The sequence below is a fragment of the Homo sapiens genome, chromosome 6 (genome assembly GCF_000001405.40).
Source record: "Homo sapiens chromosome 6, GRCh38.p14 Primary Assembly".
Classification (NCBI taxonomy): Eukaryota; Metazoa; Chordata; class Mammalia; order Primates; family Hominidae; genus Homo; species Homo sapiens.
The window spans coordinates 83,311,055-83,337,983 of NC_000006.12; the positions used below are offsets into that span (position 1 = coordinate 83,311,055).

Sequence of the window (26,929 nt, forward strand, 5' to 3'; positions counted from 1 at the left end):
CTTCTTTCTTGGGATGATAAGGGTAGAGATTTCACCCCCATAAGTTAACATGTGCCCCTTAACTACCATCTACCTCTGCCTCCCCTCCAGATCCCTGGGCCAATAACTAAGGTTTTATCACAATATAACCTATCTGGGACATACTAGAGTTGATAAAGGAAGAAAGAGACTTTACCCCAAAGGAGCCACAAGACCAGTATTTGTATTAGCCAGGAGAATACATGTAGAATTAAATTCTGAGGGTGTTTGATTAAAAGGGCTGGAACCTAGGAAAAGGGAGAGCTTACTGATTTGCAGGCACTCTCCTGAGATACAGGATTTAACATGTGGCAAGAATCCCAGAAGATGGTGCAAACTCATTGCTAGGATGGTTCCTAGAAACATGGACAAATTAATGGCTGATACTAATATGACTGAAATGCCAGGAATGCTGTGGCAAATGACAGAAGAGGGGATTGCGAGGCTCAGAGAACTGGGCAGTCTGGTATATAGACACATGTAAAAGCCAGAAAATCCATAAGATGAACATATTCCACAGGAAGGCCCAGAAAACACACCATTTCCCAAAGCCATAAGGAATATGCCAATGAGAAGACATCAACATTACTAAAAATTTCAGTGGTGGTTCTCCCCTGAAGGTCAGGAGTGACAGAAGAAAAGGATGATATATAACCAGCCTGACTGATAGCAATAAGGATGCTAAGACCAGGTGAGAATGCTTAACAATCAGAAGCCAGATGGACACAATTATCATAAGAGTGGCAAAAGTGGGGTGTGTGTGGCTAACCCACAAAATGTTTTTGAGATAATTAACGGAATCTTGCATCCCTAGAGGCAAAACGGAGAGCTAACAAAGCTACTACTCAATATTTACTATCAAAAGAAACCAAAGATGAATGACCACAAAGTTGAGTGTAGCTGCCCCAATGAAGTCACAATCTCTTGCTCAGCTTCCGAACCTGAGTTAATTTTTAGACCCAGAACCCATAAACTGAAGAAGAGGCCTAGTTCCCAGAAGAAAGAACCTTATAACACCATGACAAGAATACAGGGTAATAATCCCCCTAATCTTTATCCACAGGGAACTACAGCCCTTTACCCAAGTAACTATGCACTGGAGAAGGACTATTCAAATGTCTGAGAACTAATGAGCACACAGTTGACACTGATACCTGGAGACTTGAAGCATCAAAACACTGTTCCCCTCTCCCTGTTAGAGTAGAGGCATACAGGAGCCAGTAATAAATGGAGCCCCAGCCAAGTTCTGGCTCATAATAGGTCCACTGTCACCACAGACCCACCTGGTGGTGATTCCTCAGACCCTAGATGTGTAATCAGAAAAGACAGACTTGGTAAGTGCCACAAGACCCATATCAAATCCTCAGCCTGTGAGTGAAGAGCTCTCATTGTGGAGAAGACCGAGAGGAAGAATTTGAAGCTGCTCTACCCTAAACCTGCCAAGATGGCAAATAAAAAAAACCAACATAGCATTGATGGAGAAAGAGGGGGAGGTTGATGGGCATTGAAGGAGAAAGAGAGGGAGGTTGATGGGCAGAAATTAGTGTCCATGTAAGTATCTAAACAGCAGGCAGGGGTAATCCCAACTAAGTTATCCATGGCTATTGGTGGGTCCATGTTGCAGTATAACCTCTGTACTATGTCCTCTCCTCCAAAGAGGTTTATCCCAATGGGTACTCCTTTTTTTTTAATTTTTTTAAGAAAGAGTCTTGCTCTGTTGCCCAGGCTGGAGTGCGGGGTGGTGTGATCTTGGCTAACTGCAACCTCCGCCTCCCAGGTTCAGGCAATTCTCGTCTCTCAGCCTCTGAGTAGCTGGGATTACAGGCATACGCCACCATGCCTGGCTAATGTTTTTGTATTTTTTAGTAGAGACAGGGTTTCGCCATGCTGGCCAGGCTGGTCTCCAAATCCTGGCCTCAAGTGATCTGCTTGCCTCGGCCTTCCAAAGTGCTGGGATTAAAGGTGTGAGCCACTGTGCCTGGCCCAAGGGTACTCCTTAATAAACTCTATCTCAGAGTCTGATGTCTAGGTAACCTGTAACAATCATTTCCCACTTTGAATTTAAGTTATGTTTCTTTTTAAAATAATCTTGGGTTTATCTTCACTACAACTTCCCAATTTAATTGGGTAGTGTTAGGTTTCACATCTAGATCATTTTCCTGAAACAATGTTATGACAGAAAGTATTTTTTTAGTCTTTGGCATTTTTCTCTGGAAGTACAAACCCTGATTCATAGGTGCTATCTACATTTAAAATTATTGTTTACACTTGTCAATCCCTGTTTCCTTACAAAGAACTAAGGTAACTCCTCAATTCCACATTTAAAAAAAAAACAGTTTTCTTCATTCTGGATTGATATAAAATATTCAAAATTTGTTCGTATCTCATTTTTTCCCAAAACTTTTCATTGATTCCCAATAATAAAAACTCCTTCTCCCCTTATTTCATCAGCGTTTAAGTGCACCTAACTTGTTAGCAGCGTCTGTTTGTTAAAGTTGTCTTATTTAGATAGACTTTATTCCAGACTGCATTTCCTTTCCTCTTATATAGCCTTACGGTATTATCTATACAATCTCTTGATTAATGTTGCTACTGAGGAAGTTGGATAATTTCAAAACCTTACATGAGCGTTTCACAAGATAAGGCACTTTAAGTATAAAAAACTATTAGAAATTAACTGTATTATGTGATCTCAAACTGCAGAGTTTCTCAACTATTTCTATAAATAAGTATAGTTCAAATAATTACAATAAATAAATCAAGCATGTGGTTCTAAAATGTAGTCCATACTAATTGGCAAATGTACCCAGCATTAAAACCTTGAGTAATGAGAGGTTCAATGCATTCTAAATGTTGTGCAAGCTGATGAAAGCACTTTCTGCTGTTGGATAAAACTTCTTAAAAATAAACATTATAATAAAAAGAAACCAGAAGTGCATCTCTAGTTAGAGTTAATTCTAGTGATGACTTTATTTCTAAGAAAAACCAAGGCAACATATGTGTTTTTAAATAGTATGTGGTTTCTGTGGCTACACAGTAACCAAGGGATGACTGTCAGTGTGATAAAATTCTCTTAGAATATATTACTAAATTATGGTGGGAGTCTCTTTTCTGAAAAAAAATGGAAAAATTTACAATAGCATCTGGCCCACAATCAAATGCTAACTTAAAAAGATACAGGTTGAGCATCTCTAATCCAAAAATCCAAAATCCAAAATGCTCCAAAATCTGAAACATTTTGAGCGCTGATATGATGCCACCAGTTACCCTGAACACATTATTTTTTTCATTGCATTAATGGTATATTATGTTTTATACTGTTAAGGATTTATGCATGATAAGTGCAAAAAATGATTGCTTATTGCTAGCATATAAAATTCAGAATCAGGGATAATGGTGATGCCAAACAACCATACATTGTCCACATGGGTAGCTGAGACAGTGACATCTTTGCCTCTGATGGTTCGATGTACATAAACTTTGTTTTACACACAAAATTATTTAAACTTTTGCATAAAATTACCTTTAGGCTATGTGTATATGATTTATATGAAACATAAATAAATTTCTTGTGTAGATATGGGTACCATCTCATTATATATATATGCAAATATTTCAAAATCTGCATAAACACTAATGGTCTCAGGTGATTTGGATAAGAGACTCTCAACCTACATAGCACTGCATTTTAATCAAATATTATAGATTTAATCAGAGATGCATGGATCATGATGGAATGCCCTGTCCTTGCTCCATTCTGGACCCCTGTGGACTGTACCAACTCATGCTCAATCCCCACCTCTTTTTCTGCTTTTCCTTTGTGGCTGGTGGTTGACCATAAGAGAGTCAAATACCAGCTACAAAGATGACTGAAGATCAGATTTTATCATCAACCAGAAAGTACAGATTGTCGATAAATGTAAAAAGGTTTGCAGGTAATTTAGTCACTGGTCACTGCCTCCTTTACCATAATCATGCATTTCAACAGCCACAGGTTCTAAAGGTTCTTGTAAAAAAAAAAGTATATTCAGGGACAGCAACAGAAATAATCTATTCTGGATAGACACATGATATTATCATTTGTCCATTAACAGTTATGAGGAAATAGATAGGATATATGCATTTTTCATTCAAATTACTTCTAATTATTAAACCATATTGCATAAATCTTGGATTTTTTAATAGTCTGTTATGTTATTGTTACTGACTAAAATATAGGTTAAATAAAGATACATACTTGGAAGAAACTGCCTCCATGAATTCGTCCAAAAAATCATCATATTCAGAACCTCTTACTCTTCTCTGCCGTAGTCCAATGTAGAGTGGATCTTTAAGTAACTCCTATTAAAAAAAGTTACCATAAAAATAGAAATAACTATAACCAAATCATTTATTGAGCCTCAGTTTCTTCATCTGTATAAAAGGGACAAAAATAGAAATAAAATCTTACCATACTGATTCAGAATTAACCTACAGGGTAATTACTTAATGTTACATAGAATATACCTGTAGTATTTATACACCAAATAAGAAAAATAATTTCTGGTCAGGAGCAGTGGCTCACGCCTGTAATCTCAACACTTTGGGAGGCTGAGGCAGGCAGATCACGAGGTCAGGAGATCAAGACCATCCTGGGTAACAACAGTGAAACCCTGTCTCTACAAAAGAACAAAAATTAGCTGGGTGTGGTGGTGTGCATCTGTAGTCCCAGCTATTTGGGAGCCTGAAGCAGAAGAATCACTTGAACCTGGGAGGTGGAGGTTGCAGTGAACCAAGATCGCACCACTGCACTCCAGCCTGGGCAACAGAAGGAGACTCTGCTGCAATAAAAATAGATAAATAAATAAATAAGAAAGAAAAATAATTCCTAAACGTTAAAAACATTCTAGATTATTCTGAGGAAAAGAAAAAAATAAAATATTTCATTTGTGTTAATTAGAAAAGTGCAATTCAGATTTTACAGACAAAGGTAATCACACAGAGAAATAACATTTAGTTTTGAAATATTAGCTTAAGGAATGGAAAGATAGCAATTCCTTTCTTAATTTTCCACTTCCGAAAGCAAAATTATCAAACAATGGTTTTACTTTACCTTTACTATGATAGTTAACAGACTTTAAAATAAATTTTTTAGCCTTTACTAGTGTTTTCTTAAATTTTTTAACTTTACACAGTTTAAGTTGTTTCTTAAACTGATATATCTGAGAATGTTGCCCTGTGTAAATTTTGGTATATATAATATGTAATATCACTTTTATTAAATCAGTTTTGAAATTGAGATATAATTTAAATATAACATACCCATTCATAACAAAAGCTCTCAGTAAACTAGAAGCAGAAAGGAACTTCCTTAACGCAATAAAGGACATCTATGAAAATCCCACAGCTGATAGCATATTTAGCAGTGAAAGACTGAGTGCTCTTCACTTACGATAGGGAACAAGACAAGAATACTTACCTTCATCACTTCTACTCTACACTATACTGGAGACCCTAGCTATTACAATAAGGCAAGAAAAAGAAAGAAATATAGATTGAAAAAAAAAGAAGCAAAACTTTTTTATTTGTACACATATAATTGTGTACATAGAAAATACTAAGAAATCTACCAAAAAAAATCCCAGTAGAAAAAAATACATGAATTTAACACAATCACAGTTTATAAAGTAAATATACACAAATCAATTTTACCTCTATACACTTGCAATGGACAGTTAAAAATGAAATAAAATATACAACTCCATTTATAATACCAGCCCAAAATGCAAAATTCATAAGGACATATTTAAGAAAATATGTGTAAGACCTGCACACTGGAAACTACAAAATATTGCTGAAAGAAACTCAAAAAGACTTAAATTGGGAATAACCTGCAAAAAATAAAAATAAAAAAAAAAGACCAAAGTGACACCTTCAGTAACCTAGAATAGAGAAAATTGAAATAATGAATTTGTGAATCTGGCTAATGAGATTTCCAGGCAGAATGCTGACTTGGCTTCTTGTGGCTATATAATAAAGTCTAAAACAGAGAAGAGCTAGAGAAGAAAATGTTCAGTTTGTGAGCAAAATTGAAGGAATATAGAGGACACAGGACTTGCTGGTAAAAGATGTGCATAGCAAAATAAGGTCTTCAAACATGAAATTAAGTGTGTGGTTTTAATAACTTTTTAAGAAATCTCTGAATGATTTAAAGTGAAGACTACTAGATCACCTTGACTAGACAAAAGGAACTGGTCTTCCATTTGTTTGTATCCTCTTTTATTTCCTTGAGCAGTGGTTTGTAGTTCTCCTTGAAGAGGTCCTTCACATCCCTTGTAAGTTGGATTCCTAGGTATTTTATTCTCTTTGAAGCAATTGTGAATGGGAGTTCACTCATGATTTGGCTCTCTGTTTGTCTGTTGTTGGTGTATAGGAATGCTTGTGATTTTTGCACATTGATTTTGTATCCTGAGACTTTGCTGAAGTTGCTTATCAGCTTAAGGAGATTTTGGGCTGAGACAATGGGGTTTTCTAGATACACAATCATGTCGTCTGCAAACAGGGACAATTTGACTTCCTCTTTTCCTAATTGAATACCCTTTATTTCCTTCTCCTGCCTAATTGCCCTTGCTCATGGGTAGGAAGAATCAATATCGTGAAAATGGCCATACTGCCAAAGGTAATTTACAGATTCAATGCCATCCCCATCAAGCTACCAATGCCTTTCTTCACACAATTGGAAAAAACTACTTTAAAGTTCATATGGAACCAAAAAAGAGCCCGCACTGCCAAGTCAATCCTAAGCCAAAAGAACAAAGCTGGAGGCATCACACTACCTGACTTCAAACTATACTACAAGGCTACAGTAACCAAAACAGCATGGTACTGGTACCAAAACAGAGATATAGATCAACGGAACAGAACAGAGCCCTCAGAAATAACGCCACATATCTACAACTATCTGATCTTTGACAAACCTGAGAAAAACAAGAAATGGGGAAAGGATTCCCTATTAAATAAATGGTGCTGGGAAAACTGGCTAGCCATATGTAGAAAGCTGAAACTGGATCCCTTCCTTACACCTTATACAAAAATCAATTCAAGATGGATTAAAGACTTAAACATTAGACCTAAAACCATAAAAACCCTAGAAGAAAACCTAGGCATTACCATTCAGGACATAGGCATGGGCAAGGACTTCATGTCTAAAACACCAAAAGCAATGGCAACAAAAGACAAAATTGACAAATGGGATCTAATTAAACTAAAGAGCTTCTGCACAGCAAAAGAAACTACCAACAGAGTGAACAGGCAACCTACAAAATGGGAGAAAATTTTTGCAACCTACTCATCTGACAAAGGGCTAATATCCAGAATCTACAATGAACTCAAACAAATTTACAAGAAAAAAACAAACAACCCCATCAAAAAGTGGGCGAAGGATATGAACAGACACTTCTCAAAAGAAGACATTTATGCAGCCAAAAAACACATGAAAAAATGCTCATCATCACTGGCCATCAGAGAAATGCAAATCAAAACCACAATGAGATACCATCTCACACCAGTTAGAATGGCAATCATTAAAAAGTCAGGAAACAACAGGTGCTGGAGAGGATGTGGAGAAATAGGAACACTTTTACACTGTTGGTGGGACTGTAAACTAGTTCAACCATTGTGGAAGTCAGTGTGGCGATTCCTCAGGGATCTAGAACTAGAAATACCATTTGACCCAGCAATCCCATTACTGGGTATATACCCAAAGGACTATAAATCATGCTGCTATAAAGACACATGCACACGTATGTTTATTGCGGCATTATTCACAATAGCAAAGACTTGGAACCAACCCAAATGTCCAACAATGATAGACTGGATTAAGAAAATGTGGCACATATACACCATGGAATACTATGCAGCCATAAAAAATGATGAGTTCATGTCCTTTGTAGGGACATGGATGAAATTGGAAATCATCATTCTCAGTAAACTATTGCAAGAACAAAAAACCAAACACCGCATGTTCTCACTCATAGGTGGGAACTGAACAATGAGAACACATGGACACAGGAAGGGGAACATCACACTCTGGGGACTGTTGTGGGGTCAGGGGAGGGGGGAGGGATAGCATTGGGAGATATACCTAATGCTAGATGACGAGTTAGTGGGTGCAGCGCACCAGCATGGCACATGTATATGTATGTAACTAACCTGCACAATGTGCACATGTACCCTAAAACTTAAAGTATAATAATAAAAAAAATAAAATAAAATAAAAATAAAAAATAAAAAGATAGGAAAAAAAACAAAAAAGGAACTGGTCCCGCATCACTCTGACATGCCAGCCAACATAGGAAGGAGGCCTATTTTGAAAGAATTGTGAATGGAGCCTCTGTCAAATTGAGTAGAGTATAATCTGATAACAGAGAAGGCCTAAAGAGTTTTTAAGGGTATGGCACTATCTTGGATTATTAAGACAGAGACACTTCAAATGAAAATAATTCTCTGGGTCCCCAATTTTCTGTAGTCAGGAAGCAGACTGAGAAAGTTATTCAGCTGCTAATACAGATCATTTCTTATGAAAGAGGAAGGATATCTCAGAGGACACAGCCAAGAACCCAGAAGGCAAAACCAAAAGCCCAAAAAAGAACAATGAACTACAGAACCACCCTGAGGAAACTTAATGGGCCCTATTCAAAGAATATTCCCTTCTCTTCCCCATGTAGGTGGCCTGGCAACATGTGCCCAGTTAGATTTCAGAATTGCTATGTACCATTTAGAGCCATATGATTCCTACTCCTCCAGCTATGAATGAGAATGTTGATGGTGGTTATTCTGTCCCTGCCTCACCGTTGTATGTTTGATATGTGGGAACACAGAAATGAGTTCCACCAAGGAGCAAAACCCAAGAAACCTCATTTGCATCTAGATCAGATTTAGATGACAATTTCTTGAACTTTGGACCTGTTGCTATTAGTGGGATGAAACTTTTGAAATCCTAGGATGGTGATAAGCATATTTTATATGTGGAATGTGACCAATTTCTGAAGAATGAGAACTGATGTGGAGAAAGGTCCAGCTGTGCCAGGCATCCTAGCCTTCCTAGCCATTCCAGTCCAAACTGCCAGCCAACAGAATCATAAACATTAATAAAACAGTAATTGTTTTAAGCCACTGAGAGGGTGATGTTAAGAAGGTTAAACCTTCAGATGTTAAGAATAATCTGAAGAGGAGTTTACTTACAGGCAACAGAAATTATAGCCCAGTTCTTCACACTTGTTGTCCTGTTGTAATTAGTAATGGCACCCTCTGTCGTTGTGAAATTGTCTTGGTTTGGCCAATATATCTTACTTATAATGTATTGCATAAGAAGAGTTAAGGATTTCCAGCTAGCTGAAAGTTAACAAGTTATATCATATAAATATATTTCAGATGAAATGTAAAATCTGAAATCAAGTGCCGCTGTAAACTGCAGCTGTTCCTTAAGGCATAAAAACTTTAAACAATTACTGGCAGGCTTCTGAGCAGCTGAAGTTGAAGTGCCAATGTGCTACTAATGGCTGCCAGAATTAAAATACTTTCTCCATGTCTAGAATATATTTAGACTTCTAAAATGTGAATTAGAAAAATTACACAATTGAGAAAAAAATGCTACGTTTCCCCTTCTCTTTTCTCCCTCCTTTCCCATGTTAATAATTAAAGTATACACCATAAAGAAGTCTGACTACAATGTAGTCGATTACAAAGATTTATGAACAAGATAGAGATTCTGAAGTAAATCAGAAAGTTAAAAAATTATCGATTCCCAGGTAAGATGACCAAATAGGAACAGCTCCGGTCTGCAGCTCCCAGCAAGACCAATGCAGAAGGTGGGTGATTTCTGCATTTCCAATTGAGGTACCCGGTTCATCTCATTGGGATGGGTTAGACAGTGGGTACAGCCCACAGAGGGCAAGGAGAAGCAGGGTGGGGCATCGCTGCACCCAGGAAGCGCAGGGGGTTAGGGAACTCCCTCCCCTAGCCAAGGGAAGCTGTGAGGGACCCTGCCCTGAGCGACTATGCACTCTGGCTCAGATACAACACTTTTCCCCATGGTCTTCACAACCCACAGACCAGGAGATTCCCTTGGGTGCTTACACCACAACAGCCCTGGGTTTCAAGCACAAAACTGGGTGGTCATTTGGGCAGACACCAAGCTAGCTGCAGGAGTTTTTTTTCCATACCCCAGTGGCACCTAGAATGCCAGCGAGACAGAACCATTCACACCCCTGAAAAGGGGGCTGAAGCTAAGGAGCCAACTGGTCTTGCTCAGCAGATTCCATCCCTATGGAGCCCAGCAAGCTAAGATCCACTGGCTTGAAATTCTTGCTGCCAGCACAGCAGTCAGACCTGGGACACTCGAGCTTGGTGTGGGGAGGGATGTCCATCATTACTGAGGCTCGAGTAGGCAGTTTTCCCCTCACAGTGTAAATAAAGCCACTGGGAAGTTTGGACTGGGTGAAGCCCACCACAGCACCACAAAGCCACTATAGCCAAACTGCCTCTCTAGATTCCTCCTCTCTGGGCAGGGCATCTCTGAAAGAAAAGCAGCAGCCCCAGTCAGGGTCTTATAGATAAAACTCCTATCTCCCTGGGACAGAACACCTGAGGCAAAGGGCAGCTGTGCGCACAGCTTCAGCAGACTTAAACTTTCCAGCCTGACAGCTCTGAAGAGAGCAGCACATCTCCCAGCACAGCATTTGAGCTCTGCTAAGAAACAGACTGCCTCCTCAAGTGGGTCCCTGATTCTTGTGCCTCCTGACGGAGAGACACCTCCCAGCAAGGGTCAACAGACACCTCATACAGGAGAGCTCCGGCTGGCATCTGGCAGGTGCCCCTCTTGGGGGAAGCTGCCAGAGGAAGGAACAGGCAGCAATCTTTGCTGTTCTGCAGCCTCCGCTGGTGACACTAAGGTAAACAGGGACTGGAGTGGACCTCCAGCAAACTCCAGCAGACCTGCAGAAGAGGGGACTGACTCTTAGAAGGAAAACTAACAAACAGAAAGGAAGAGCATGAACATCAACAAAAAGGACAACCATGCAAAAACCCCACGCGAAGGTCACCAACAGGGAAGACCAAAGGTAGATAAATCCATGAAGATCAGCAAAAACCAGCACAAAAAGGCTGAAAATTCCAAAAACCAGAATAACTCTTCTCCTCCAAAGGATCACAACTCCTCACCAGCAAGGGAATAAAACTGGATGGAGAATGAGTTTGACTAATTGACAAAAGTAGGCTTCAGAAGGTGGGTAATAACAAACTTCTCTGAGCTAAAGGAGCATGTTCTAACTCAATGCAAGGAAGCTAAGAACCTTGATAAAAGGTTAGAGGAATTGCTAACTAGAATAACCAGATTAGAGAAGAACATAAATGACCTGATGGACCTGAAAAACACAGCACAAGAACTTCATGAAGCATACACAAGTATCAATAGCTGAATCAATCAAGTAGAAGAGAGGATATCTGAGATTGAAGATCAACTTAATGAAATAAAGTTTGAAGACAAGATTAGAGAAAAAATAATGAAAAGGAATGAAGAAAACTTCCAAGAAATATGGGACTATGTGAAAAGGCCAAACTGACGTTTGGTTGGTGTACCTGAAAGTGATGGGGAGAATGGAACCAAGTTGGAAAACACTCTTCAGGATATTATCCAAGAGAACTTCCCCAAACTCACAAGACAGGCCAACACTCAAATTCAGGAAATACAGAGAACACCACAAAGATACTCCTCGACAAAAGCAACCCCAAGATGCATAATCGTCAGATCCACCATCGTTGAAATGAAGAAAAAAATTTAAGGGCAGTGAGAGAGAAGGGTTGGGTTATCCACAAAGGGAAGCCCATCAGACTAACAGTGGATCTCTCTGCAGAAATTCTGCAAGCCCGAAGAGAGTGGGGGCCAACATTCAACATTCTTAAAGAAAAGAATTTTCAACCCAGAATTTCATATACAGCCAAGATAAGCTTCATAAGTGAAGGAGAAATAAAATCCTTTACAGACAAGCAAATGCTGAGGGATTTTGTCACCACCAGACCTGCCTTACAAGAGCTCCTGAAGGAAGCACTGAATATGGAAAGGAAAAACCGGGACAGGCACTACAAAAACAAACCAAAATGTAAAGACCATTGACATTATGAGGAAACTGTATCAACTAATGGGCAAAATAACCAGCTAGCATAATAATGACAGGAGCAAATTCAAACAACAATATTAACCTTAAATGTAAATGGGCTAAATGCCCCAGTTTGCCAGACACAGACTGGCAAACAGGATAAAGAGTCAATACCCATCAGTGTGCTGTATTCAGGAGACTTATCTCACATGCAAAGACACACATAGGCTCAAAATAAAGGGATGGAGGAAGATTTACCAAGCAAATGGGAAGCAAAACAAAAACAAACAAACAAACAAAAAACAAAAAAAAAACCCCAGAGGTTGCAATTCTGGTCTCTGATAAAACAGAGTTTAAACAAATAAAGATCAAAAGAGACAAAGAAGGCTATTACATAATGGTAAAGGGATCAATTCAACAAGAAGAACTAAGTATCCTAAATACATATGCACCAATACAGGAGCACCCAGGTTCATAAAGCAAGTTCATAGAGACCTACAAAAAGACCTAGACTCCCACAAAATAATAGTGGAAGACTTTAACACCCCACTGGCAATATTAGGCAGATCAACAAGACAGAAAATTAACACAGATATTCAGGACTTGAACTCAGCTTTGGACCAAGCCTACCTAATAGACATCTACAGAACTCTCCATCCCAAATCAACAGAGTATACATTCTTCTTAGCACCACACAGCACTTATTCTAAAATTGACCCCACAATTAGAGGGAAAACACTCTTCAGCACATGCAAAAGAAAGGAAATCATAACAAACACACTCTCAGACCACAGTGCAATCAAATTAGAACTCAAGATTAATAAACTCACTCAAAACTGCACAACTACATGGAAACTGAACAACCTGCTCCTGAACGACTACTGGGTAAGTAATGAAATTAAGGCAGAAATAAATAAGTTCTTTGAAACCAATGAGAACAAAGACACAATGTGCCAGAATCTCTGGGACACAGCTAAAGCAGTATTTAGAGGGAAATTTATAGCACTAAATGCCCACAGGAGAAAGGGGGAAAGATCTAAAATTGACACCCTAACATCACAATTAAAAGAACTAGAGAAGCAAGAGCAAACAAATTCAAAATCAAGCAGAAGATGAGAAATAACTAAGATCAGAGCAGAACTGAAGGAGATAAAGACATGAAAAACCCTTAAAAAAATGAATGAATCCAGGAGCTGGTTTTTTGAAAAGATTAACAAAATAGACTGCTAGCCAGACTAATAAAGAAGAAAAGAGAGAAGAATCAAATAGAAACAATAAAAAAATGATAAAGGGGAGATCACCACTGATCCCACAGAAATACAAACTACCATCAGAGAATACTACAAACACCTCTACAAATAAACTAGTAAATAACCTAGAATATCTAGAAGAAATGGATAAATTCCTGCACACATACAGCCTCCCAAGACTAAACTAGGAAGAAGTCGAATCCCCGAATAGACCAATAACAAGTTCTAAAACTGTGGTATTAATTAATAGCCTACCAACCAAAAAAAAAAAAAAAAAAAAAAAAGCCCAGGACGAGATGGATTCACAGCCGTATTCTAACAGAGGTACAAAGAAAGAGGAGCTGGTACCATTCCTTCTGAAACTATTCCAAACAATAGAAAAAGAAGGGCTCCTCTCTAACTCATTTTATCACATCAGCATCATCCTGATACCAAAACCTGGCAGAGACACAACAAAACAAGAAAATTTCAGGCCAATATCTCTGACGAACATTGACACAAAAGTCCTCAATAAAATACTTGCAAACCGAATCCAGCAGCACATCAAAACTTATCCACCATGATCAAGTGGGCTTCATCCCTGGGATGCAAGGCTGGTTCAACATATGCGAATCAATAAATGTAATCCATCACATAAACAGAACCAATAACAAAAACCACATGATTATCTCAATAGATGCAGAAAAGGCCTTCAATAAAATTCAACAACCCTTCATGCTAAAAACACTCAATAAACTAGGTATTGATGAAACATATCTCAAAATAATAAGAGCTATTTATGCTAAACCCACAGCCAATATCATACTGAATGGACAAAAGCTGGAAGCATTCCCTTTCAAAACTGGCACAAGACAAGGATGCCCTCTCTCACCACTCCTATTCAACATAGTATTGGAAGGTCTGGCCAGGGCAATCAGGCAAGAGAAAGAAATAAAGGGTATTCCAATAGGAAAAGAAGAAGTCAAATTGTCTCTCTTTGCAGACGACATGATTGTATATTTAGAAAACCCCATTGTCTCAGCACAAAAACTCCTTAAGCTGATAGGCAACTTCAGCAAAATCTCAGGATGCAAAATCAATATACAAAAATCACAAGCATTCCTATATACCAATAATAAGCAAATAGAGAGCCAAATCATGAGTGAACTCCCATTCACAATTGCTACTAAGAGAATAAAGTACCTAGGAATACAGTTAACAAGGGATGTGAAGGACCTCTTCAAGAAAAACTACAAACCACTGCTCGAGGAAATAAGAGAGGACACAAACAAATGGAAAAACCTTCCATGCTCATGGATAGGAAGAGTCAATATCATGAAACTGACCATAGGGCCCAAAGTAATTTATAGATTCAATGTTATTCCCATCAAACTACCACTGACCTCCTTCACAGAATTAGAAAAAACTACTTTAAATTTCATATGGAACCAAAAAAGAGCCCATATAGCCCAGACAATCCTAAGCAAAAAAAACACAAAAAAACGAAGCAAACAAAAAAAAAAAAAAACAAAGCTGGAGGCATCATGCTACCTGACTTCAAACTATACTACAAGGCTACAGTAACCCAAACAGCATGGTATTGGAACCAAAACAGATATATAGACCAATGGAACAGAACAGAGGCCTCAGAAATAACACCACACATCTACAACTATATGATCTTTCACAAACCTGACAAAAACAAGCAACGGGGAAAGGATTCCCTATTTAATAAATGGTGTTGGGAAAACTGGCAGAAAACTGAAACTGGACCCCTTTCCTTACAACTTATACAAAAATTAACTCAATATGGATTAAAGATTTAAACATAACACCTAAAACTATAAAAACCCTAGAAGAAAACCTTGGGAATACCATTCAGGCCATAGGCATGGGCAAATATTTCATGACTAAAACACCAAAAGCAATGGCAACAAAAGCAAAATTGACAAATGGGATCTAATTAAACTAAAGAGCTTCTGCACAGCAAAGGAAACTATCATCTGAGTGAACAGGCAACCTACAGAATGGGAGAAATTTTTGCAATCTATCCATCTGACAATGGGCTAATATCCAGAATCTACAAGGAACTTAAATTTACAAGAAAAAACCAAAACACTCCATCAGAAAGTGGGCAAAGGATATGAACAGACATTTTCAAAAGAAGGCATGTATGTGGCCAAAAAACATAAAAAAAAGCTCATCATCACTGGTCATTAGAGAAATGCCAATCAGAACCACAATGAGATATCATCTCATGCCTTTTGGAATGGTAATTGTTAAAAAGTCAGGAAACAACAGATGCTGGAGAGGATATGGAGAAATAGAAATGCTTTTACACACTGTTGGTGGGAGTGTAAATTAGTTCAACCACTATGGAAGACAGTGTGGCGACTCCTCAAGGATCTAGAAATAGAAAAATCATTTGACCCAGCAATCCCATTACTGGGTATATACCCAAAGGATTATTGTTGCGGGAAGTCAGGGACCCCAAACAGAGGGACCGGCTGAAGCCATGACAGAAGAACGTGGATTGTGAAGATTTTATAGACATTTATTAGTTCCCCAAATTGATACTTTTATAATTTCTTATGCCTGTCTTTACTGCAATCTCTAAACACAAATTGTAAAGATTTCATGGACACTTATCACTTCCCCAATCAATACCCTTGTGATTTCCTATGCCTATCTTTGCTTTAATCTCTTAATCCTGTCAGCTAAGAAGGATGTATGTCACCTCAGGACCCTGTAATAATTGCGTTAACTGCACAAATTGTACAGCACAGCATGTGTGTTTGAGCAATATGAAATCTGAGCACCTTGAAAAAAGAACAGGATAACAGCAATTGTTCAGGGAATAAGAGAGATAACCTTAAACTCTGACCATTGGTGAGCTGGGCAGAACAGAGGCATATTTCTCTTCTTTCAAAAGCGAATGGGAGAAATATCACCGAATTCTTTTTCTCAGCATGGAATATCCCTGAGAAAGAGAATGCGCACCTAGGGGTAGGTCTCTGAACTGGCCCCCCCGGGGCACACCTGTCTCTTATGGTTGAGTCTGCAGAGATGAAATAGACTCCAGTCTCCCATAGCGCTCTCAGGCTTATTAGGAAGAGGAAATTCCCGCCTAACAAATTTTGGTCAGACCAGTTGATCTCAAAACCCTGTCTCCTGATAAGATGTTATCAATGACAATGGTGCCCGAAACTTCATTAGCAATTTTAATTTCGCCTCGGTCCTGTGGTCCTGTGATCTCACCCTGTCTCCACTTGCCTTGTGATATTCTATTACCCTGTTAAGTACTTGATGTCTGTCACCCACACCTATTTGCATACTCCCTCCCCTTTTGAAAATCCCTAATAAAAACTTGCTGGTTTTTGTGGCTTTTGGGGCATCACGGATCCTACCAACATGTGATGTCTCCCCCGGATGCCCAGCTTTAAAATTTCTCTCTTCTGTACTCTGTCCCTTTATTTCTCAAGCCAGCCGATGCTTAGGAAAATAGAAAAGAACCTACGTGATTTTTGGGGCAGGTCCCCTGAAAGATTATAAATCATTCTATGATAAAGACACATGCACACGTATGTTTATTGCAGCACTGTTCACAACAGCAAAGACTTGGAACCAATCCAAATGCCCATCAATGTTAGACTGGATAAAGAAAATGTGGCACATATACACCATGGAATACTATGTAGCCATATAAAAGAATGAGTTCACGTCCTTTGCAGGGACATGGATGAAGCTGGAAACCATCATTCTCAGCAAACTAACACAGGAACAGAAAACCAAACACCGCATGTTCTCACTCATAAGTGGGAACTGAACAATGAGAACACATGGACACAGGGAGGGGAACATCACACAGCGGGGCATGTCAGGGGGTGGAAGGCAAGGGGAGGGATAGCATTAGGAAATACCTAATGTGGATGACGGGTTGATGAGTGCAGCAAACCACCATGGCACATGTATACCTATGTAACAAAGCTGCATGTTCTGCACATATATCCCAGAACTTAAAGTATATAAAAAAATTCTTCCAATCATAATAATGTCCCTGTTAAAAATTAGTTTTTTTAATTTCATAATTTTAATTAAGATAATCAAGGCTTGAATAATTAGTGCATTCTCAGAGATTTGGCTGACAAAAAAATTAGTATCTACAAAAAGCAATTTAACAACATTATTCAGTTTTGATAATGGTTCCACAGACAAAGTAGACTGGCACAGAAGTGATATTAATTTACTGGATTAAAAACTTCTTATGGTCAGGAGCAAACACTCAATAGATCACTGTTAGAGAATAAATACTTGGTATTAAGGAAGCACTTAAAAAAGGGTGGAACTTCTTTAGCACTAGGTGTTACACTAAATGCATGTGGTGCCACTGAAGACTTATGAAAATTTACAAGCCTGAGAAAAGGAAAAAGACTGGGGCAAAAGTAAGGAATAAGACATATGGAAATATAAGAGAGCTCAAAAAAAGGAGATAAGGAGGGTATATATTGGTAATTATACTAATGATCTTACTATTCACATTATCTCAATTCTGCACCCTTCAGAATTTATAACTGAAGCATCTATTTATTTGAAGTTAATAGTAATCACTATCAAATCTCACCTTGTTTTTGTCTCCCACATTTCTATCTTTACAATCTGACGTGTCTGAGAATTTAAAAATATTATCTTAATATTATAAGTATTTTTCTCATCACAAAAGCAATATTTGTTTATCAGAAATGTTTGAGAGCACTGAAAAGTAAAATTAAAACCAAAGAATACCAATAATCTCTACCCATTCAGAACTACCCAACATTAGCACCTTGATGTATATTCTTCCAGGTCCTTTTCTTTGTATCTATGCATATATAAGATTATCTGTCCAAATTTGGGATGATAGCATAGAGTATATTTTAACCTCTTTTCACAAAGGAATATATGATGAAAGCTTTCGTGTCAATAGACAAACATCTGTACTGGTACTCTGCTCTCCTAGAATGTATGAATAAATTAACAGCACCTCATCACACCTCCAGTGGTATATAATAAGTATGTCTATTTTGTTGCAGTCTCAAATAAGGTATCTTTTCATATCATGCCTATATCATGAAATATACATATAAATATATAAGAAGTAACAATAAATTCATATCTGTACCTGCTATATGTGTGTCTCTGTGTGGCACATAGGCACAAAACTGTTCTCAAGCAGCATTCATTTATATTCCTTTTATATTACTGTTGTGCATTTTTTCATAAGTTTATTGACCATTTTTATTTCTTCATTTGTAAATTATCTGTGTCCATATGTCCTTAGGCAATTTGTATAGTGGAGATTTCACATTTTCTTACTTACTTTAAAGTGTTCTCTTTTTTTATGTCTTCTTTTAAAATTATTTTTTAGAGACAAGTTCTCACTCTGTTGTCTATCCTGGAGTGCAGTGGCATGATCATAGACAGCTCACTATAGCCTCGAACTCCGAGACTCAAGGAATCCTCCCACCTTGGCCTCCCAAGTAACTAGGACTACAGGCACCATACCTGGCTAATTTTATTTTAATTTTTGCAGAGACAAGGTCTTGCTTATGTTGCCCAGGCTGGTCTTGAACTCCTGGGCTCAAGTGATCCTCTCACTTCACCTCCTAAAGTGTTGGGATTACAGGTGTGAGTCACTGAGCCTAGTCTAATATTCTCTTACTGACCTGAAAGTATTCTTTAAATATTAAGAACATTATACACCTTTATCTTCTATACTGATGTAACTATTCCTCATTCTAGCATTTATTTTTAAACTCAATTTATAATCTACAGAAAATTATTTTCTTTGTTACCATTTCTCATTTTTTGTTATGGATTCTATAAATAAATAATATATAACTTTTGCTGTTTTGTTGCCTCATGTCATCAATAAGAATAAGCAAAGTAACCATCACATTCAGGTAAGAGTCTAAAACCAGTACCACTAAAATGTCAGCATGCATATGAGCTGGCATGATTATTAAAAAGTGCTAGAAATAAAAATGATTAAAATTTAGTTGTGATTCAGTATGTCTGGAGCAGGGTGCAAAATTCTGCATTCTTAACACATGCCCCTGATAATTCTGAAGTGGTGAGAACTTGTATTATTAAGTTATTTCGAACTTGTATTATTAAGTTAAAATAAAACCATTCTACTTCCTACTAGGTTTCTGTCTCATTTAAATAAATTTTCCATTTTGTTCTATACAATCAGTATTTCTAAAATTTACATAAAAATTTCAAGGAGTTCCTGCTAGTTATAGTGTGCATAAAATCAAACTAAAGAAAGACCCCATTCTCTTTCCCAAGGCACTAGTGTAGTGTCTCAGGAAACAGATAAATAAATTCTTGATAAAATCTATTAAGATCTTCTAATTTAGAGAGGGTGGGGCAAAATGAGACCACAAAGAGCAAGCAAATGAAACTCCAAGCCAAACTCCTGGGAGTTGAGAATTTTCTTCTCTCCCCTGGCTTTACTAATGATGACTGGTATTCATTCCAATACAGGATCACTTGTCTGAAGTGGCAAGGGTACACTGTACACATCAACCAGAGGCCAGACTAAACATAAAACTAGACACAGAAAAGCTGAGACCTGGAGCAATGGTTTAATAAGCAAAGAATACGCAGAAATCACATTCTCCTACTCATTCTGCCCGTGACCTCTTGAGGACTGATCATGTGCTATGGGTTGAAAGGTGTTGCCCCCAAATTCATATGTTGAATCCCTAATCCCAGTACCTCAGAATGTGACGTATTTGGAGACAGAGTATTTAAAGAAGTAATTAAGTTGAATGAGGTCATTAGAGTGGGCCCTAATCCAATATGACTGGTCCTTTTAAGAAGAGGAAATTGGCCGGGTGCGGTGGCTCACGTCTGTAATCCCAGCACTTTGGGAGGCTGAGGCGGGTGGATCACGAGGTCCGGAGTTTAAGACCAGCCTGGCCAAGATGGTGAAACCCATCTCTACTAAATATACAAAAATTAGTCGGGCGTGGTGGTGGGCGCCTGTAATCCCAGCTACTCAGGAGGCTGAGGCAGAGAATTGCTTGAACCCGGGAGGCGGAGGTTGCAGTGAGCTGAGATCATGCCACTGCACTCCAGCCTGGGCAACAGAGCAAGACTCCATCTCAAAAAAAAAAAAAAAAGAAGAGGAAATTAGGATACAGACATACACAGAAGAAAAACTGTATGAAGACACCAGAGGAAGACGGGCATCTACAAGTCAAGGACACAAACCACAGAAGAAACCAACCCTACCAACACATTGATCTTGGACTTCCAGCCCCCAGAACTGTGAGAAAATAAATTTCTGTCAGTTAAGCCACCTAGTCTATGGCTCTTTGTTACAATAACCCTAAAAAAAAGAATATCCCATATAACGTATGAAAAGGTTCTTTAAGACATAATAATGTCCAAACAAGCAGGAAGGGAACACAAGGAACATCTACTCAAATTATTTTTAGTCAAATAGCAAGCCTCAATATTAGTCATATACAAGAAAAACAGACATATAATCAACATAATTTCTATGAAAAGATTTGGCAACAGCAAAAAAAGAAGGAATTAAACATGACATGTTCTAAAGAAAATTTACTTCACGTAACAAGTAAACTTTATATAGCAACTGCTTCACAATTAAAGAAAATATGGACTGTGAAATAACAGAGGAAAGATGAGATGAAAATATAAACACAAACACCCTACCTAATTTAATACTTAGTATTATTAACTTAAAGAATAAGAGTATTTTCCATCTAAACAAAATCAAAATGGCCATTATTTTAAAGTCAAAAAAAACAATAGATGTTGGCACCATGTGGTGAAAAGGGAAAACTTATACACTGTTATTGAGAATGTAAATTAGTATATCATCTATGGAAAACAACATGGCGATTTCTCAAAGAACATAAAGTAGATCTACTATTCAATCCAGCAATCCCACTACTGGGTATCCACCCAAAGGAAAAGAAGCCATTATATCAAAAAGACACCTGCACATGTATGTTTATCACAGCACAATCCACAATTGCGAAGATATGAAATCAACCTCAAGTGCCCATCAACCAATGAGTGGATAAAGAAAATTTTCACATATATATCATAGTATACCACTCAGTCATAAGAAAGGATAAAACAATGTCCTTTGCAGCCACTTGGATGAAACTGGAGGCTATTAACCTAAATGAAATAACTTAGGAATGGAAGACCAAATACTGCATATTTTCACTTATAAGTGGGAGTTAAGCTATGGGTACATAGGAGTATACAAAGCAGTATAATGGACACTGGAGACTCAGATGGGAGGAGGGTAGGAGGTAGGTAAAGGATAAAAAATTACCTATTGGGTACAATGTTTTTCAGGTGATGGGTACACTAAAAGCTCAGAGTTCACCATTATATAATTCATCCGTGTAACCAAAAACCACTTGTACCCTTAAGGCTATTAAAATAAAAAATAAAAATAAAAAAATAAGAATATTTTTTAGCCAAGTACTTCTGTGTACTTCTGTTTTGGCATCTTAGTTCCTTAAATTTCCTTTAGTTGAAAGCTGCAGAAGCTTAAAAGCAGTCAGGCAAGTGTATCTTTATGGCAAGTGAAGACTGTCTTATTAACTGGCAGCTAATTCCATTTCTATTTTCATTACTATCCAGTACATGTAGGTATGATAAAAGAGGAAAACATTTATAATTTGTATTTAAAGGGGATTTACTTTTATTAAAATTTGCTAGGTTATTCTGGATAAGAAACTAAGTGATATTATCAAGCAGTTTCTATATTTTTATTATTAAGTGTAAAATATGCAGAGATTCAAAAAAGCAATTAAGATTAAAAATTAGTACTACAGGAACATTTTGACTAAAATCAGTTTTCCATATGTGAAACTGCCACTACATAAAAACACCATTACATTTTAAATGAACTCATAGACTCAGTCATAATTAAGTTTTCCTTCCTGTCTTCTCAGTAAAGCAGCAGTGAAAGAATAAATACAAAAAATACAAAATGTCAGAATGAATAAAATAAGAACATTATGAGTAGCAACTCAGTTGATTCCAAATATTTTTCTATTCTTCACACACATTATGAGTTAAAGACCATAAAAATTTAGATTAGGATGTTTTACAGGTTACAATATTACTAACATATTTTGAACTCCAAGAGCTCAAATGGAGAAAGTAATATGTTGGAGCATTTCTATCTATTTTAAGCAACAGAAAAGTTAATCCAGAATCTTAAACAACTTCTATTTTTATCCTGAACAGCACTGTATTGCTAACGGAATACAGTTGATATGTGTAGCCCGAAAGTCAATAAAATTAAGGGCAAATTGAGTCAAAGATGAAAACATATTTTGCTTAATAAATACAACACACCTTGATCAGTTTTTAGAAAAAAAATACTTGCCCCAAAATTAATTATTCTGATTAACCAAATAATATGTAACTATTTCTTTGCTTAGAAATGTGAAATACTGATATAAAACTCCAAGTCAGGGGGGGAGGAGCCAAGATGGCCGAATAGGAACAGCTCTGGTCTACAGCTCCCAGCGTGAGCGACGCAGAAGACGGGTGATTTCTGCATTTCCATCTGAGGTACCGGGTTCTTCTCACTAGGGAGTGCCAGACAGTGGGCGCAGGCCAGTGTGTGCGTGCACCGTGCGCGAGCCGAAGCAGGTCGAGGCATTGCCTCACCTGGGAAGCGCAAGGGGTCAGGGAGTTCCTTTTCCGAGTCAAAGAAAGGGGTGACGGACGCACCTGGAAAATCGGGTCACTCCCACCCGAATATTGCGCTTTTCAGACCGGCTTAAGAAACGGCGCACCACGAGACTATATCCCACACCTGGCTCAGAGGGTCCTACGCCCACGGAATCTCGCTGATTGCTAGCACAGCAGTCTGAGATCAAACTGCAAGGCGGCAACGAGGCTGGGGGAGGGGCGCCCGCCATTGCCCAGGCTTGCTTAGGTAAACAAAGCAGCCGGGAAGCTCGAACTGGGTGGAGCCCACCACAGCTCAAGGAGGCCTGCCTGCCTCTGTAGGCTCCACCTCTGGGGGCAGGGCACAGACAAACAAAAAGACAGCAGTAACCTCTGCAGACTTAAGTGTCCCTGTCTGACAGCTTTGAAGAGAGCAGTGGTTCTCCCAGCACGCAGCTGGAGATCTGAGAACGGGCAGACTGCCTCCTCAAGTGGGTCCCTGACCCCTGACCCCCGAGCAACCTAACTGGGAGGCACCCCCAGCAGGGGCACACTGACACCTCACACGGCAGGGTATTCCAACAGACCTGCAGCTGAGGGTCCTGTCTGTTAGAAGGAAAACTAACAACCAGAAAGGACATCTACACCGAAAACCCATCTGTACATCACCATCATCAAAGACCAAAAGTAGATAAAACCACAAAGATGGGGAAAAAACAGAACAGAAAAACTGGAAACTCTAAAACGCAGAGCGCCTCTCCTCCTCCAAAGGAACGCAGTTCCTCACCAGCAACGGAACAAAGCTGGATGGAGAATGATTTTGACGAGCTGAGAGAAGAAGGCTTCAGACGATCAAATTACTCTGAGCTACGGGAGGACATTCAAACCAAAGGCAAAGAAGTTGAAAACTTTGAAAAAAATTTAGAAGAATGTATAACTAGAATAACCAATACAGAGAAGTGCTTAAAGGAGCTGATGGAGCTGAAAACCAAGGCTCGAGAACTACGTGAAGAATGCAGAAGCCTCAGGAGCTGATGCGATCAACTGGAATAAAGGGTATCAGCAATGGAAGATGAAATGAATGAAATGAAGCGAGAAGGGAAGTTTAGAGAAAAAAGAATAAAAAGAAATGAGCAAAGCCTCCAAGAAATATGGGACTATGTGAAAAGACCAAATCTACGTCTGATTGGTGTACCTGAAAGTGATGTGGAGAATGGAACCAAGTTGGAAAACACTCTGCAGGATATTATCCAGGAGAACTTCCCCAATCTAGCAAGGCAGGCCAACGTTCAGATTCAGGAAATACAGAGAACGCCATAAAGATACTCCTCGAGAAGAGCAACTCCAAGACACATAATTGTCAGATTCACCAAAGTTGAAATGAAGGAAAAAATGTTAAGGGCAGCCAGAGAGAAAGGTCGGGTTACCCTCAAAGGAAAGCCCATCAGACTAACAGCGGATCTCTCGGCAGAAACCCTACAAGCCAGAAGAGAGTGGGGGCCAATATTCAACATTCTTAAAGAAAAGAATTTTCAAACCAGAATTTCATATCCAGCCAAACTAAGCTTCATAAGTGAAGGAGAAATAAAATACTTTATAGACAAGCAAATGCTGAGAGATTTTGTCACCACCAGGCCTGCCCTAAAAGAGCTCCTGAAGGAAGCGCTAAACATGGAAAGGAACAACCGGTACCAGCCGCTGCAAAATCATGCCAAAATGTAAAGACCATCGAGACTAGGAAGAAACTGCATCAACTAATGAGCAAAATCACCAGCTAACATCATAATGACAGGATCAAATTCACACATAACAATATTAACTTTAAATATAAATGGACTAAATTCTGCAATTAAAAGACACAGACTGGCAAGTTGGATAAAGAGTCAAGACCCATCAGTGTGCTGTATTCAGGAAACCCATCTCACGTGCAGAGACACACATAGGCTCAAAATAAAAGGATGGAGGAAGATCTACCAAGCCAATGGAAAACAAAAAAAGGCAGGGGTTGCAATCCTAGTCTCTGATAAAACAGACTTTAAACCAACAAGGATCAAAAGAGACAAAGAAGGCCATTACATAATGGTAAAGGGATCAATTCAACAAGAGGAGCTAACTATCCTAAATATTTATGCACCCAATACAGGAGCACCCAGATTCATAAAGCAAGTCCTGAGTGACCTACAAAGAGACTTAGACTCCCACACATTAATAATGGGAGACTTTAACACCCCACTGTCAACATTAGACAGATCAACGAGACAGAAAGTCAACAAGGATACCCAGGAATTGAACTCAGCTCTGCACCAAGCAGACCTAATAGACATCTACAGAACTCTCCACCCCAAATCAACAGAATATACATTTTTTTCAGCACCACACCACACCTATTCCAAAATTGACCACATAGTTGGAAGTAAAGCTCTCCTCAGCAAATGTAAAAGAACAGAAATTATTACAAACTATCTCTCAGACCACAGTGCAATCAAACTAGAACTCAGGATTAAGAATCTCACTCAAAGCCGCTCAACTACATGGAAACTGAACAACCTGCTCCTGAATGACTACTGGGTACATAACGAAATGAAGGCAGAAATAAAGATGTTCTTTGAAACCAACGAGAACAAAGACACCACATACCAGAATCTCTGGGACGCATTCAAAGCAGTGTGTAGAGGGAAATTTATAGCACTAAATGCCTACAAGAGAAAGCAGGAAGGATCCAAAATTGACACCCTAACATCACAATTAAAAGAACTAGAAAAGCAAGAGCAAACACATTCAAAAGCTAGCAGAAGGCAAGAAATAACTAAAATCAGAGCAGAACTGAAGGAAATAGAGACACAAAAAACCCTTCAAAAAATCAATGAATCCAGGAGCTGGTTTTTTGAAAGGATCAACAAAATTGATAGACCACTAGCAAGACTAATAAAGAAAAAAAGAGAGAAGAATCAAATAGACACAATAAAAAATGATAAAGGGGATATCACCACCGATCCCACAGAAATACAAACTACCATCAGAGAATACTACAAACACCTCTACGCAAATAAACTAGAAAATCTAGAAGAAATGGATACATTCCTCGACACATACACTCTCCCAAGACTAAACCAGGAAGAAGTTGAATCTCTGAATAGACCAATAACAGGCTCTGAAATTGTGGCAATAATCAATAGTTTACCAACCAAAAAGAGTCCAGGACCAGATGGATTCACAGCCGAATTCTACCAGAGGTACAAGGAGGAACTGGTACCATTCCTTCTGAAACTATTCCAATCAATAGAAAAAGAGGGAATCCTCCCTAACTCATTTTATGAGGCCAGCATCATTCTGATACCAAAGCCGGGCAGAGACACAACCAAAAAAGAGAATTTTAGACCAATATCCTTGATGAACATTGATGCAAAAATCCTCAATAAAATACTGGCAAACCGAATCCAGCAGCACATCAAAAAGCTTATCCACCATGATCAAGTGGGCTTCATCCCTGGGATGCAAGGCTGGTTCAATATACGCAAATCAATAAATGTAATCCAGCATATAAACAGAGCCAAAGACAAAAACCACATGATTATCTCAATAGATGCAGAAAAAGCCTTTGACAAAATTCAACAACCCTTCATGCTAAAAACTCTCAATAAATTAGGTATTGATGGGACGTATCTCAAAATAATAAGAGCTATCTATGACAAACCCACAGCCAATATCATACTGAATGGGCAAAAACTGGAAGCATTCCCTTTGAAAACTGGCACAAGACAGGGATGCCCTCTCTCACCACTCCTATTCAACATAGTGTTGGAAGTTCTGGCCAGGGCAATCAGGCAGGAG

At 38.5% G+C, this 26,929-nt stretch overlaps 1 protein-coding gene across 1 annotated transcript in view; it reads right to left on the reverse strand.

Moving 5' to 3' along the window:
* Positions 1-26,929, reverse strand: part of ME1 (malic enzyme 1) — a 220,650-nt gene that overhangs the window by 100,653 nt on the left and 93,068 nt on the right. Inside the window, exon 6 of the mRNA NM_002395.6 lies at positions 4,256-4,359. Within this exon, the coding sequence (NP_002386.1) occupies positions 4,256-4,359 (104 nt within the window). The remainder of the gene's footprint in view (positions 1-4,255; positions 4,360-26,929) is intronic.